At 36.3% G+C, this 14791-nt stretch overlaps 1 long non-coding RNA gene across 5 annotated transcripts in view; it reads left to right on the forward strand.

Moving 5' to 3' along the window:
• Positions 1-1554: 1554 nt before the first annotated feature.
• The window catches only part of LOC105377862 (uncharacterized), a 322839-nt gene continuing 309602 nt past the window's right edge, over positions 1555-14791 (forward strand). For 3 of the 5 annotated variants that reach the window (NR_187980.1, NR_187979.1, NR_187978.1), the window contains exons 1-2: positions 1555-1680; positions 1773-1871. This is a non-coding gene — a long non-coding RNA (uncharacterized LOC105377862). Of the gene's footprint in view, positions 1681-1772; positions 2466-5313; positions 5407-14791 lie in introns of those variants that run through there. The other 2 variants (NR_187981.1, NR_187977.1) reach the window with 2 other exon arrangements.

Below are 14791 nucleotides of genomic sequence, written 5' to 3' on the forward strand. Positions count from 1 at the left end.
TAAAGTGTTGGATCTTTCATATGGGCCTCATTCTGTCACAGACCACAGTTACCTGCCAGTGATAAAACCACACCAGCATTCCTTAATGCCACAGTGTACACTAACAGAACCTGAGCAGCCCTAGCTTATTGAATGAGGATCTGGTACCTGTTGCATGGGAGAGAGCAGAAGGTTCTCTGTTTTAACTTATAACTGACTGTGTGGCAAAATATCACAACTATAACTAAACAGAATCTTGGTGGGCTTGTGCTCTGATGCACTAAGCTCCTCTGATTACATGGATCAGAAATGTTACAGTGGTAATAAAGAAAACAAGAACTGGACCAGTGCTAGTCCTCTGCATAGGAGTTTCATGAACAATATTATATGAAGGAAATTGGGCTCATGCAACTATGCCATCAATGAGACTTGGCTGGGAAATGTCAATGCCTCTTTACCAATGAGTGGCTCACTGAACAAAGAAACAAAGAAAGGGGTGCTGTGTGTGCCCAAGCGTTGCATCTCTCTCTGCAGGTGGCTGGGGATGGCCTAGATACAGGATAGACAATGCCATGCCTGTAAAGCTGGTAGCTGGTGGGATCCTGCACATTGGGTGTACTAGGGGTGCCCCTAGATATCACCCTGGGAAGGAGATGCTCCATTAGGCCAGTGGCCTTAAGCTTTTACACAGGCTTACTAGGAACCCACCAGGAGGTGGGATTGACTTTGGGTTTATGTCCTTTATTAGATCTTTGATGTCACACATGAGTTGGTACTCATAAAAAAGTAGTAAGAACCCTGCCTCTGACCATGCAGATATTGCTTTTCCACTGCCACTGTCTTGGAAGCCCTAGACATCCCCCAGATTCCTCAGGAAAGTTGTTTTAGACAGTGGAATTGCCCGAGACTTTCTTTTAGCTCAATTGAGAGGAGTGTATGTGTTTGGCAATTCCTACTGCTGTAGCTAGATAAACACCTTAGGTACAGTAGAGACATAAGTAGAGGAGATCTGGAAGCAGGTCCACTGGCTACAAACAGTGGGGCTATCTGATAATCCTTCTTTGCCTTTTTTTTTTAGCAACTTCTTACCTGAGACACTGGTATCCTGGATTAGGTCACTGCCTCAAGCAGGTCTGGCTGTCCTGCTAGTGGTGTAGTCCTTTGGGATCCAGTAAAGGATTTTCTGTCTGTTACTCAACAGTGTTGCACTGAGTTTGGGTCAGTCAAGGTGCTACATCAGTCTGGCTAGATAAACCTCTTCCTCCAGATCCAGAGAGGTTGGTGGGCATTTGAAATGCACTGACTTTGCTACGAGAGATGTCTGGCTAGAGGGGTAGACCTTAGGACAATTCTCCAGGTGGCCTTGGACATACCTAGTTATCCCTGTTTCTTGCTTGTAGTTCTCAAAAATAACTATAGAATGTGCTGGGAATGCAACATCTTGAGTTAGGGAGGAACTGCTCTGGTACAGCCTGGGCTTTACTCCTCCTTCCTGTGGAAGCGAGATATCCTTCAAAGCTTTGCCCAGTGATCATGCGGCCCCTGGGTTATATAACTCAGAACAGGCTGCCAGCTGTGTTTCCTCAGCTGCAGTGCAAGTGGGGCATGCTCCGTTGAGACTTTATTCACTCTGGGCAGTTTGTTGAAGATTAGGTGGTCAGCTCACAATGAATCATAAGCTGCTTTTGTCCCTTGCTGTCTGTAAGTAAAAATCTCCTTCATATATTGTGTGTGTGAGTGTGTTCTGTCTCAACAGAGTCAGGCAAATAGTAATTAGTGAACCTGCTTCACAGATGCTTAGAAGCTAAAAGGTTAAGCAGCGATGTCAGCGCTATCAGGGAGCTGTGGAGACTGGAATTGAAGTTCAGAACCTTTCATGGGAGACAGCTCAGGTAAACATCCAAGCAAAGTGATAAAGGAAGAAAACAATACGAAACTCACTACCCACTGTGGGCTGCTTTCAAGCTTTAACTTCAGATCCTCCTGCTAGTTTTTACTTTTCAGAGTGTTTAAGTGCTTGTTTTTGTTTGTTTGTTTGTTTGTTTTTTGTAGTTTGTTCAGTTTTAGTGGTGAACAGTGCATTAGATAGATTCTAGTTGGCTTATTTCATCTTAGCAATCATCGAAAACTTAGATATTTTATCTTTAAAATTACAAACCAATATGGACTACTACAAACATCTATTAGAGCGTCGCTGCCTTTAAATATGATTCCCTAGGTTGGGTGTGATACTTCTGTATTTTAGAAAGTTCCCCTGCCCCAATAAATCTAAAATGTAAGGTTAAAAACCCTCATTTCTTCTTTATTTGCCTAGTTCAGCCAATTTGACTCTCAGTTGGATTTTGAGAATCTCAGTGATGTTTCAGTTTGGAGGTCAGTTCAGAATAGCTTTTTATTCTAATTTTAATACCTCTATTATCCTGATAAAAGTGTTGTTGATGAAATAATTTTGAATATCTCAATAAAAATCTCAAGTGCCTACCAAATATTCTTTAAGCTTTCAACTTATATATTTTATACATTTTATACATCACGTAGTCTTTGAATGTGAAAAAAAATCAGTTAAAACTATCAGTTGTATTTACTATAAAGATAGTAGCATGAGCCCCACCAGGGTCCTCTTAATCCCTGATTCCCAGTTCTCAGTGCAATGACCAATAGATGAGACAAATTAAAGAAGACCTACATCATGTCTGGGGGACAATGAAGTATACCTTCCACATACCAAATTGTCGAGCGTTTGTGCTTGAGATAGTATTGATAACAACTCAGTACACTGAGTCAACCTGCAACTCTTTCTCCTAACAGATGTCATCATAACTGGCCCGTATTAGCAGAGGAAACCCTTCATATTTTGTAAGAAGATGTTGAGCAACAGGGCAGTTGGTGGAGAGTATGGAAACATATAAATACAGTTAACAGGAAAAAATATTTTAAAATAATATCAAGATCTAATTCTGCATCTCAAAAGTATCCCTTGAATATATGGGAAGTTAATAGAATGATACTAGCTTCTGAGTATTTTCTTCTGAGGTGTCTCCATATTATTTATAAAGAAGGTGACAAGTACTCAGGGTAAACAACAAAACAAGAAAACCAGACCGTCCTCAGACTTTCCAATACTAAAAATCTGAGGGTGGTAAAACAACTGCTTCAGAATTTAGAGGAAAAAAGAAAATTTGTAACCTTAGCTTTTAATATAGCTAAGTTGTCTTTCACTTTGAAGGGAATAGACATACGTTCTTAGATGTTAAAAGATTCAGAACATATACCAACCTCCAACAAAATGGTTGTAAAAGAATTACGTGGTTTCTTAGTTATAGAAATAGACTTTCCTTTGTCTTCAATCTTTAATCAGGGTTTTAGTGCAGTGGTGGAACACATAAAAAGTAAAAGTACTTTCATATTCCAGTGAAATTCATAGACTTTGATAAAGTTTGTTTTCCATTTGGTTTAACCATCACAACTTACATTTTTTGGTCCCTAAATAATATCTTGGTTATGGTTGACTATCTCTGCAGTACAGTAGGTAAGTATTGCTTCTGGTTCATATCTATCGTGGGAGATTTAATGAATCACAAGGAGAAGATTTATTTTTAAGTGTTGACTTAAAAATGACTGTGTCAGGGAATTAACAGGTGCATTAGCATTTGATGTGGAAATCATTTCTGTTCTTTGTTTCCACTCATTGTTTCCAAGTTGTTTTTCTGTCATACCAAGGAGAGTTTTCCTGGGGAAAAACAAAAGCCTTCTGATTGGATCAGGCTTACATGATGACTTATCACTTACATCTCTTCCAACTCAACAGAGAGAAAACAATTTTTTGTGTAGTGAGGTGGTGGCAGGCAAGAGAAGGAGTGTATACAGAGAGAGCATTCATTTTAATTCTGGTGCAGTGCACAGATGAGGAATATCCCACATGGAGTCTCTTCCAGCCTCTGCTTAAACATATAGTGATTTTATTTTCTTGTATGCCTGTTCCCTCTGCCTGTGGGAATAGGGAGAATGAAAAAAGATAATTGAGCTTATTCTTTCATTTGCAGCAAAACCCAAATATATACTTCAAGGGAAACAGGAATAGGTATTGTCATCTCATATATAACTACTCTCATTCTCAGTACTTAGAAAAGGCATGGCTGCTTTTGCCATAAATATTTTAAAGTTTCAGCGAGGCTCAGGGAGACACAGCCTTCCCTGGCATGCAAGTGACAGTATTTGTTTGAAGGACAAAACTGCATCATGCTTTTCTTGTGTGTGATGTGTGTGCATGTGAATAATTTCAAATGATTTCAACAGTAGCAATTTCATTTTATAAATAATTAACATCCTTTCACATTAAATAATTTTTCAATATATGAAGTTTCCGAACGTCTAACATGAGTTAGAAAAGTATAGCATTTTTACCGGAAATAAATATAACTATATATGTCATTGGTACTCTAATTAATAGGATATTAAGGTAGTGTGTGTAGTATAAAGAGAGTAACTATAAATTATTTTGTGGCAAGTAAAAACTGGGGAATGCTAAATATTTAAATACCTGTGAAGATCCAGGCCAAACAACCAGGAAGATAATAAAAAAGTATGAAATTTATCACATGGAAAATGCCTCAAAAATAATATGAAGTAATATTCTACCAAAGCCATGAAATGTTTTTGGTCCCCAAACCTTCCATCTCTGGAATATATGGCATAAATAAAATTCTGATAACAATTATCATAGTGAAGTACATAACTTTGATTTAAATAAGTGATCCATTGAATTAAGTTTATGTAACTGGAACTATTTCAGGATATATAGGTGTAAAAGTTAACGTTCCTGTCTTTAAAATAATTATAATTTTGATGGATAAATAAATTATAAATACACATGTCAAAAGTTAAACAATATTAGCTTCAAATAAGAGTTTAGGTAATCCCTGGAATAGATGACATTTTAGTAAAATAAATTACAAATATGATAGCTATTACAGGAGAGTTCAGAAGATGAAAGAATATCTTCTATTTAAGCATGATTATCTTGAGGAGGTGAAATTAAAAATAAACCTTATAAATATATCCTTGAAGATGAGAACAGAGAAACATTCTAAGTAGAATATTAAAAATGAATCCATGTGGGTGATGTCAGAGTAAGGACCTCCAAAAATTTTCTCTTTCGTTAAAGCAATAAAAACACTGGCAAAAAATGTTCAGTCAACTTTTTCAAAAACCACTCAAATTAAGAAAGACTTGCAGCAACCCAGGAAGTGTTTTTTCAAGAAAAATGGCTGAATCTAAGTAAAAACAGTGAGCTTTGTATCATTTTAACTTGCTCTATCCTATCTCCTTGTACAGCTCCGCAGTAGCTTTGAAAACAAGCAGCCCACAATCATGCTGACAGCCAGAAGTCTGGCAGACACTGGGATTGAAATATAATGTTGGATATTCTACAAAGCCTCATTTCCAGAAAATTGTGATTATTTAAACTGTCTCTCAATTCCTGGAAAACTCCACTTACAAGACTGCCTTTATTTGACCTGATTTGGAGCTTGGGTAGTATTAACAGCTTTATCCTCAGGGGCATTGGTTAAAAAAAGAAAAAAAAAATCCATGGGCAAAGTTTAACATTATGGCTCTGTGAGACAGTAGATAACATTAAATCCAAACTATAGAGTTTGGCAATGATGAACTTAGGCAAAGTAAGACGTTTGCAAGGTAAATCTTAAGAATGAGATGTTTATGAGGAGTTTGGAAAAACTTTGACTTATTTCTAAAAATCTACATGGCTTGCTGCATATGTGTACAGCTCTAGGTATGTCCAGAGTTGTGTGATTGCTCTGGAAATATATGAGAAAGTCCTAAGCTCTCACTTCTAATTAACCTTGAGGCTTTGTGCAAACAAGAAGTAAAGGTGAAGTCAGAGTTGTAAACAAGTGGCTGAGTGTTTAAGATGTTATCTCAATACACATGCTAAGCTCCTTGGCAAAGATTAGTTCCACACATTTAAAAACACCTTTTTCTAACCATTAGCTGACCAAAACACCAACCAAGCAGAAATTTCAGTGGTCATACTTTGTACCATATTTTAAAAATTGACTCAAAATGGAACTAACTAAAAAAAGATTGGAGGCTGTAATGTTGCAGCTAAAACTATACAACTCTTAGAAGAAAATAAGCATAAATCATTTTGACATTGATTAAAACAATGATTTCTTAGATATGACACCAAAAGCAAAAGCAGCCAAGAAATATATATATATATATATATATATATATATATATATATATATATATGGCAAATTGTTCTTTATAAAAATTAAAGCTTTTGTACTTCAAAGAACATTATCAAGAAAGTGGTAAAATCATCCACAGAATAGGACAAAATATTTGCAATCATAACTGGTAAGAGCTAAGTTTTAGAATATATAGGTAACTGAGAATACAACAATAAGACAAATGCCTTTATGAAAAATGAGCAAAAGATTTGAATAGACGTATCTTCAAAGAGATATACAAATATCTAATAAAAGCATTAAAAGATACTAAACATTATTAATCATTAGGGAAATGCAAATCCAAACCACAATGAGATACCACTTCAAACACACTAGAATGTTATCATCAAAGCAGACAGATAATAATAAGTGTCGGCATGGATTTGGGAGAAATGGGAATCCTCATATATTACTGGTGGAACTACAAAATGTTGTAGCTACGTATACTGAAGAGAATCATAAACACATGTCCACACAAAAAATTGTTCACAAATGTTTATAGCTTCATTATTCATGATAGCAATGTAGTGGAAATAGGACATATTTATCAGCTATTGAGCAGATAAACCAAATTATATTCATATAATATATGCATACAATGGAATATTATTCAGCCAAAAAGGTAAGAAAATATTAATACATGCTATAACATTGATGAACTTGAAAACATTACATTAAGTGAAATAGGCCACAAACAAAAGGTCATATATTATGTGAATCCATGTATATGAAATGCGTAGAATAGGCAAATGTGTAGATATAGAAAATTGCTTCCTGGGGCTCAGAATAGGGTAAAATGGGAAATGATTTAATGGCCATTGGGCTTCTTTCTGGGATTATAAAAACATATTGGTATTCGATAGTGTTGATGGTTGCAAAATATTGTGATTCTACTCAAACTCCACTGAGTTCTACACTTTAAATAGATGAATTTTATGGTATGTAAGTTATATCTCAAAAAATAATAAAATGAGTGAACGGAGATCAATATCTGAAATGACTGTATACAGAGCGCAGCAGAGTCTGTCCCAGAGAAATAAGAATTTAATAAAAAATTATAAAAGTTAACCATTTAAAGTCACTAGAGTGTCACTAAAGAATAAGTGGGACATTGTACTTGCTTACATCTCCAGGGCAGTGGGGCAGAGATTCTACAAGGGTGGAGGCAGGCAGTGAGAACAGAAGGTGCTGAAGCTCTTTGTAAGAGAGCTGACTTCATCTGAAACACAATGTGAGGACGTTTATCATCTATAACAATGGAGATATTCATGGTGAACACATAAAGGAGGCAGGTAATTCCATGATATTAATAGCAACAAGTGAAAATGTAGATCAAATAGAAGTTTATCAGAGTGAACTAGAGAAAGAGCATAAAAAAGCCCTCCTAGGGTTGGAGAATCCTCAAAAACTGACAAAACCTAGCTTTTCAAAGAAGCCTGACTTTAATCAGATCACATTTTGGCGCAATTTATGTCTCAGTACTGTCAAAAACAATACAGCAATCAGCTAGCAATGAGTGGATACTAATAGCTGGGCATGATATCCATAGTGCTAGATCAGCCAGAAATGTAACAGGAAGATCACAGAAGGAGACAAAGTGAATGCTGATGAAAACCACAATCATCTCAGAAAGGTTCTGTGTATTCCCAAGGTGTGTTTTCTGAGGAGCAACATCAGAAGCTATATACTGTAGGGGAAATAAACATCAATAGAATAGTTTTGTCAAGTCACCAACCAATGAAAAAGCAAATAGGCAAACAACACAAATCTCACAAACATTTAATAAAGTTATAGTAAAGTTTCTCGAATTTAGCAGTTTTATGGCATGTTGTGATATCCCATCTCAAGTGAAAACAAGATGCTTCATTTTAAGCTACTAGAATGGAAGCAAGCCTTGTTGGCATTTTTTGATTTTTGTAGGTATATGGACATATAGTACACATTATGGTATGTGTTACCTTCTTAACTAGTAGTTCATAGGCTTTGAGAGGACTATAGAGAAAGATAAGTCCCTTTAGCTTGTTGCAGCTTTGGTATAAGTTGCACCACTTGGCTCGTATGAAACAGTAGAGTCAATGTTATTCTAAGTGTCCATGACAAAACAGGATACTGAATGGAGCCTATGGAAAACCCTGATAAGAGAATCAGAGTACAGTTCCCTAGACTTTTCTGTAAAGCTATGCAGTTTTCTGTAAATCACTTATTTTAAGAAAATTCCTGGTTTGCAAATGGACCCTGATTGAGACTAAATGCTTAAAGATGAAACACAATGTGACTAGATGACTTGAGATGGCCATTACAAATTGGATATTATCTGATCCATCAAGCTATAAAATTGGTGTCCCAAGTGGCATTCCATTATCAAATGGAGATAGTACACATGAGGTTGGACTGGAGAACATTATATGATCAGTTGGTTCACACCACAGTGTACCTTCTTCTGCTGCACTGACACATTCACTTCAACTTATACCTATAGACAGCTAAGGACACTCCCATAATGAATTGAATAAGAAAGAACAAATTAGAGTCTGGTTTATAGGTGATTTTATATTACATGTTGACTCTTGCCATAAGGGCATTGCTGTAATACTACAACTCCATTAAAGGGTAGTTATGAAAGACAGAGTAATTACCCCATAGGAAGAATTGGCTATCTCCTTTATCTGGTTCAGATTATCTGATGTTTGGATTTATGCTGCTTCACTAGTGGTATGACCAGATGGTCAGGGGCTTGGGAAGAATAGGATTGGAAGATTGATGGCAAGGTATGAGCAAAAGGGAAGAGGTATGTTGATGGCTGTCTCCAAATGGGAGAATATTTTTTCTCTAAAAATAGTTTATAAATGACATTAACTGCAGATATGGCTCTAAATAATCAGGTGAACAAATACTTTGTGCATATCACTATCTTTTTCTACGACTCTATGCTTTCCCTATGGGCTCATGAAAGAGGGTGGCTATGGTGGCAGAGATTCAAGCCATGCATGGGTTTTGCAACTTGGACTTTCTCTACAATGACTACTGTCATTGCTGAAACATTACTTGACAACAGCAGAGAATAATGCCGAGCTCCAGATATAGAATCTGGAGGGACTAGTCAGCCACCTTGGAGCAGGTCAATTACATGGAGTCCCTTCCATCATGGAGGAAAAAACAATTTATTTTAATGTAATAATTATATATAATTCTGCCCATCATGCTTCTACCAAGACACCATTCTCTGGTTTGCTGAATGCCTTATTCTATGTTATGTATCCCATCTATTATTGCTTCTGATCAAAGAATTTATTTTACAATAACACAAATGAAGTAGTAAGTTAGCTCTCAAGAGACTTAGTAATTTTACACGCAGAAGCAGTTGGCCTTGTAATATAGAGAAAAGAATAATTGACGACATCTATATGCTAATGATTCTAAAATTTTTATCTCCAAAGACCTGAATAGACATTTCTTAAAAGAAAATATACAAATGGCCAATAAGTATATATAAAAAATGATCAACATCACTAATCATCAGGGAAATGCAAATTGAAACCATAATGAGATAGCATTTTACCCCAGTTAAAAGTTATTATCAAAAAGATAAAAAATAACAGATGCCGGTGAGAATACAGAGAAAGCGGAATGCCTGTACACTTTGGTGAGAATGTAAAGTAGTACATCCACTATAGAAAACAGTATGGATGTTCCTCAGAAAACTAAAAAATAGAATTACCTCATGATTTAGCAATCCCACTGCTGGATATGTCTAAAATGAAAGAACTTGGTATATCAAAGAGATATCTGTACTCCAATGTTTATTGCAGCACTATTCACAATAGCCAAGATATGGAATCAATTTAAGTGTCCACGAATGGATGAATAGGTAAAGAAAATGTGGTATATATACAGAGTGGAATATTATTTAGCCAGATAAATGGCACCCCGTCATTTGCAGTGGCATGGATGGAACTGAAGATCATTATGTTAAGTGAAATAATCCAGGCACAGAAAAACAAATATTACATGTTTGCATTCATATATGGGTGCAAAAAAAAAAAAGTGGATCTCATGGAGGTCGAGAGTGGAATGGTAGTTACCAGAGGCTGGAAATGGTAAGGGTGGGAATGAAGAGAAGTTTGGTAGTGGTACAAAAATACAGTAAAATAGAACAAATACATTCTAGTATTCAATAGTACAGTAGGGAGATTATAGTTAGTAATACTTCATTGAATATTTCAAAATAGCTAGAAGAGAAGAATTTGAACATTCCCAGAACAGAAAAAGATAAATATTTGAAGTGATGGAAATCTAAATTGCCACAATTTGCTCATTACACATTGCATACATGTGTAAAAATATCACATGTACCTGCAAAATATGTATGACCACTATATTTCAATAAAAATAGAAAAAATGTATATATCCAGCCCAGATCATCTCCTTGATTCCAGACTCACATATTGAATTGCCTAGCTGATATCTAGATATCTAATGGCTTCTGCTATAGTTTGAATATCATTTTTTTAATCCCTATCAAGTGTCATATTGAAATTTGATCCCCAGTGTGATGGTGCTGGGTGTTGGGGCCCAGTGGGAGGTATTTAAGTCATGGGGGCAGATCCCTTATGACTAGATTAATGTCCTTCCTTGGGGGAGTGAATGACTTCTCACTCTATTAGTTCCTATAAAAGCTGGGTGTTAAAAGACCCTGGCACTTCCCTGCCTCCACCGCCCTTTTCCTTTTCTCTCTTCATGCAATCTGTACACATGCCACTCCCCTTCGCCTTCTTCCATGAGTGGAAGCTGCCTGATGTGGCCCTCAGCTGATGTAGATGTCAAATCTTAAACTTTGCAGCCATCTACAACCCTGAGTCAAATACACCTTTCAGTTTATTTGAGGAATACCTAGCCTCAGATATTCCTTTGTAGCAACACAAAACAGACAGCTTCTTAAAATTAGCAAGTTCAAAACCAGGCACTTGATTTTATGCTCCCTTCCTCTTATAGTCCTTTCCATCTTAATCAGTGGAAACTCTATTCTTTCAGTAGATTCAGCCCAGAATCTTGGAATTGTCCTTGACTTCCCTCTTTCTCTCATATACCACATCTAAATCATCCTCAAAGCCTGTCAACTGTACCTTCAATAAATACCTTAATGCAGTCATTTACTGCTATTTCCTGTGGCCTACATTATTGAATAGTCTCCTAAATACTTTCTCTATTTTGATCTATGAAAGCCACCCCTCTGTCTCTAAATCTAATCTACATAGAGCAACCAGATGAACCTTTAAAAATATGCCAGATCATGTAATTTCTATTTTAAAAATCTTGTAATGGCTTCCCATTTCCACTAAGTCCCACAAGACATAACATATTGTGCTTCTCTCTTTCTTGGTGCTTCTCTGACCTTCTTGTGTCACTGGTCTTGGTGTTTTTCAACAAGTCAAACTGCACACTTCAGAGTATTTGCATTTGCTTTTTCTCTGCCTGGAATACTTTCCTACTACTTATATATTTTTCTTCACTCTTTTAGGTTTCTGTTCAAATGCCTTTTAAAGAAGTATTCTCTGACCACTGCACCCTCCACCCAATCACTTTGTAACTTCATTTTTCTGTTTCTTTTTTATTCTTAAGTACTATAACCACAACCAGCTGACATGGCTGCTGCCTTCTTCTCCTCCCTCTTATTCATCTCCTCTTCCTTCCCCTTTTTTCTCTTCTTTCTTCTCCTATTGTTGTTGTTATTTTGTTTATATCTCTCCACTAGAATGTAGGTTTTCCAAATATAGCTATCTTGTCTATTTCATTCTGCTGTATGCATAGTGCCTAGAATGCATGGGGTCCTAGCACAGGGATAGGTAATCTGTGAGCATTTGGGAAGTAAAATTAATTTTTCATCAGTGATGTGCTAAAACTTTGGATATACATCAGTTGATATAAGGGTGCTAAGAAAGTTTCTCTTTTTATAGGAGTAAAATGGCCAGGTGCAGTGGGTCACACCTGTAATCTCAACACTTTGGGAGGCCAAGGCAGAGGATTGCTTGAGCTCAGAGGTTCAAGACCAACCTGGGCAACATAGCAAGACCTTGTCTCTATAAAAATTACTTTTAAAGACTAAAAATTCTTGATCTAAAAATTGACTTCTGCCCGTTCCATCCTCTGGAAACTTTATCTCAGAGGGGCACCAACCAGATACCAGCTGGAGCTCTCAAAAACAAGCAGTGAGGAAAGGATTCCCTATTTAAAAATTGGTGTTGGGAAAAGTGGCTAGTCATATGCGGTAAACTAAAACTGGCCCCCTTCCTTACACCTTACACAAAAATTAACTCAAGATGAATTAAAGACTTAAATGTAAGACCTAAAATCATAAAAACCCTAGAGGAAAACCTAGAAAATACCATTCAGGACATAGGCGTGGGCAAAGACTTCATGACTAAACCACCAAAAACAATGGCAACAAAGCCAAAATTGACAAATGGGATCTAATTAAACTAAAAAGCTACTGCACAGCAAAAGAAACTATCATCAGAGTGAACAGGCAACCTACAGAATGGGAGAAAATTTTTACAATCTATCCATCTGACAGAGGGCTAATAGCTAATATCCAGAATCTACAAGAAACTTAAACAAATTTACAAGAAAAAACAACCCATTGAAAAGTGGGCAAAGGATATGAACAGACACTTCTCAAAAGAAGACATTTATGCGGCCAAGAAACATAATGAAAAAAAGCTCATCATCACTGGTCATTAGAGAAATGCAAATCAAAACCACAATGAGATACCATCTCACACCAGTTAGAATGGCAATCATGAAAAAGTCAGGAAACAATAGATGCTGGTGAGGCTGTGGAGAAATAGGAATGCGTTTACACTGTTGGTGGGAGTGTAAATTAGTTCAACCATTGTGGAAGACAGTGTGGCAATTCCTCAAGGATCTAGAACCAGAAATACCATTTGACACAGCAATCCCATTATGGGGTATATACCCAAAAGATTATAAATCATGCTACTATAAAGACACATGCACATGTATGTTTATTGCCACACTATTTGCAATAGCAAAGACTTGGAACCAACCCAAATGCCCACAAATGATAGACTAGATAAAGAAAATGTGGCACATATACACCATGGTGTACTATGCAGCCATAAAAAGGATGAGTTCATGTTCTTTGCAGGGCCATGGATGAAGCTGGAAACCATCATTCTCAGCAAACTAACACAGGAACAGAAAACCAAACACCGCATGTTCTCACTCATAAGTGGGAGTTGAACAATGAGAACACATGGACACAGGGAGGGGAACATCACACACAAGGGCCTGTTGGGGGATGGGGGGGAAGGGGAGGGATGGCATTAGGAGAAATACCTAATGTATATGATGGGTTAATGGGTGCACCAGACCACCATGGCACGTGTATACCTATGTAACAAAACTGCACGTTCTGCACGTGTATTCCAGAACTTGAAGTGTAACTTAAAAAAAAATTATAAAATTAATGCTTTGTATAGCTGACATTTCTTATTCTCTGAAAGTCATAGGGTTTCTAACAATTTATATTCCAGAAATCTGCCCAGTGGCCCCCACATTTTATCTGCTGCTTTCATATATGTAAGTCTTAAAGATCCTCTAATCTCTTATCTCGCTTTACTCTTTTCCCCACTATTTAGATTTTTTCAGCCTTACTGGATTTTAAAAAATCTTTGAGTTCTACCCATTTTATTGGTTTCATAATTTCACCCATCTTTTGAATTTATTATTATTATTTCTTATTTTCGTGGCTTCTTTTGGTAAGAAATATTCCCTAGTGCCCAGGAAACTTGAATATCTTTTTTCCCTAGATAAGAAAAATTTGAAGAGTTCTCATATATAACCCATGCAAGTTGAAAGTTAGTAAAATGTACCAGATATCATGTTTCGTTTTGTTGAATATATCTAAGAGATTCATTTTAAATTGAATAAACTTAGTGAGAACTAGTCTACAAAGGCATTGTTTCTCCAAAGTTATGGCATAATCTTTTATATGAAAATACATTATGGAAAGCTTAGAATAATATGCTGGGCTAAAATCCATTTCATGCTGGATCAGAGAATATACAAGATAATCCTGGGCCATCTTTTAGTGCCAGAAAGTAGTAAAGTAATCCAAAAACAACACAATGGGTGTTTGTCAAAGGGAAACGGAAGACAATTGAAAGAGCTCCTAATGACCAAAGCTGGAGCAATTAGAGCAATAAAATAAATATGATAGTACTAGATTGTAATACAAAGTAAAATAAATACCCATTAGTTCATACTATTATAAATAAATGAAGGAATAAAAAACAAATGGAAGTCAAGAGACAAATCTCTTGTATAGAAGAATTCCATATAGTCTATGAACAGACTCTCCCTTCAAGAATGTGAGCATTACCCACTTCTTCTTAAGTGTGAGCTGTGCTTAGTGACTTGCTTCCAAAGAGAATAATATGGAAAATGGGAAAGAAGGACAACTTTACATTGGAGAAATCTGACAAACAGTACTTCACTTAATGAAGGTTAACATAATCAATAATAAGTCCATTTGATAG

The sequence above is a fragment of the Homo sapiens genome, chromosome 6 (assembly GCF_000001405.40).
Source record: "Homo sapiens chromosome 6, GRCh38.p14 Primary Assembly".
NCBI classification, from domain to species: domain Eukaryota; kingdom Metazoa; phylum Chordata; class Mammalia; order Primates; family Hominidae; genus Homo; species Homo sapiens.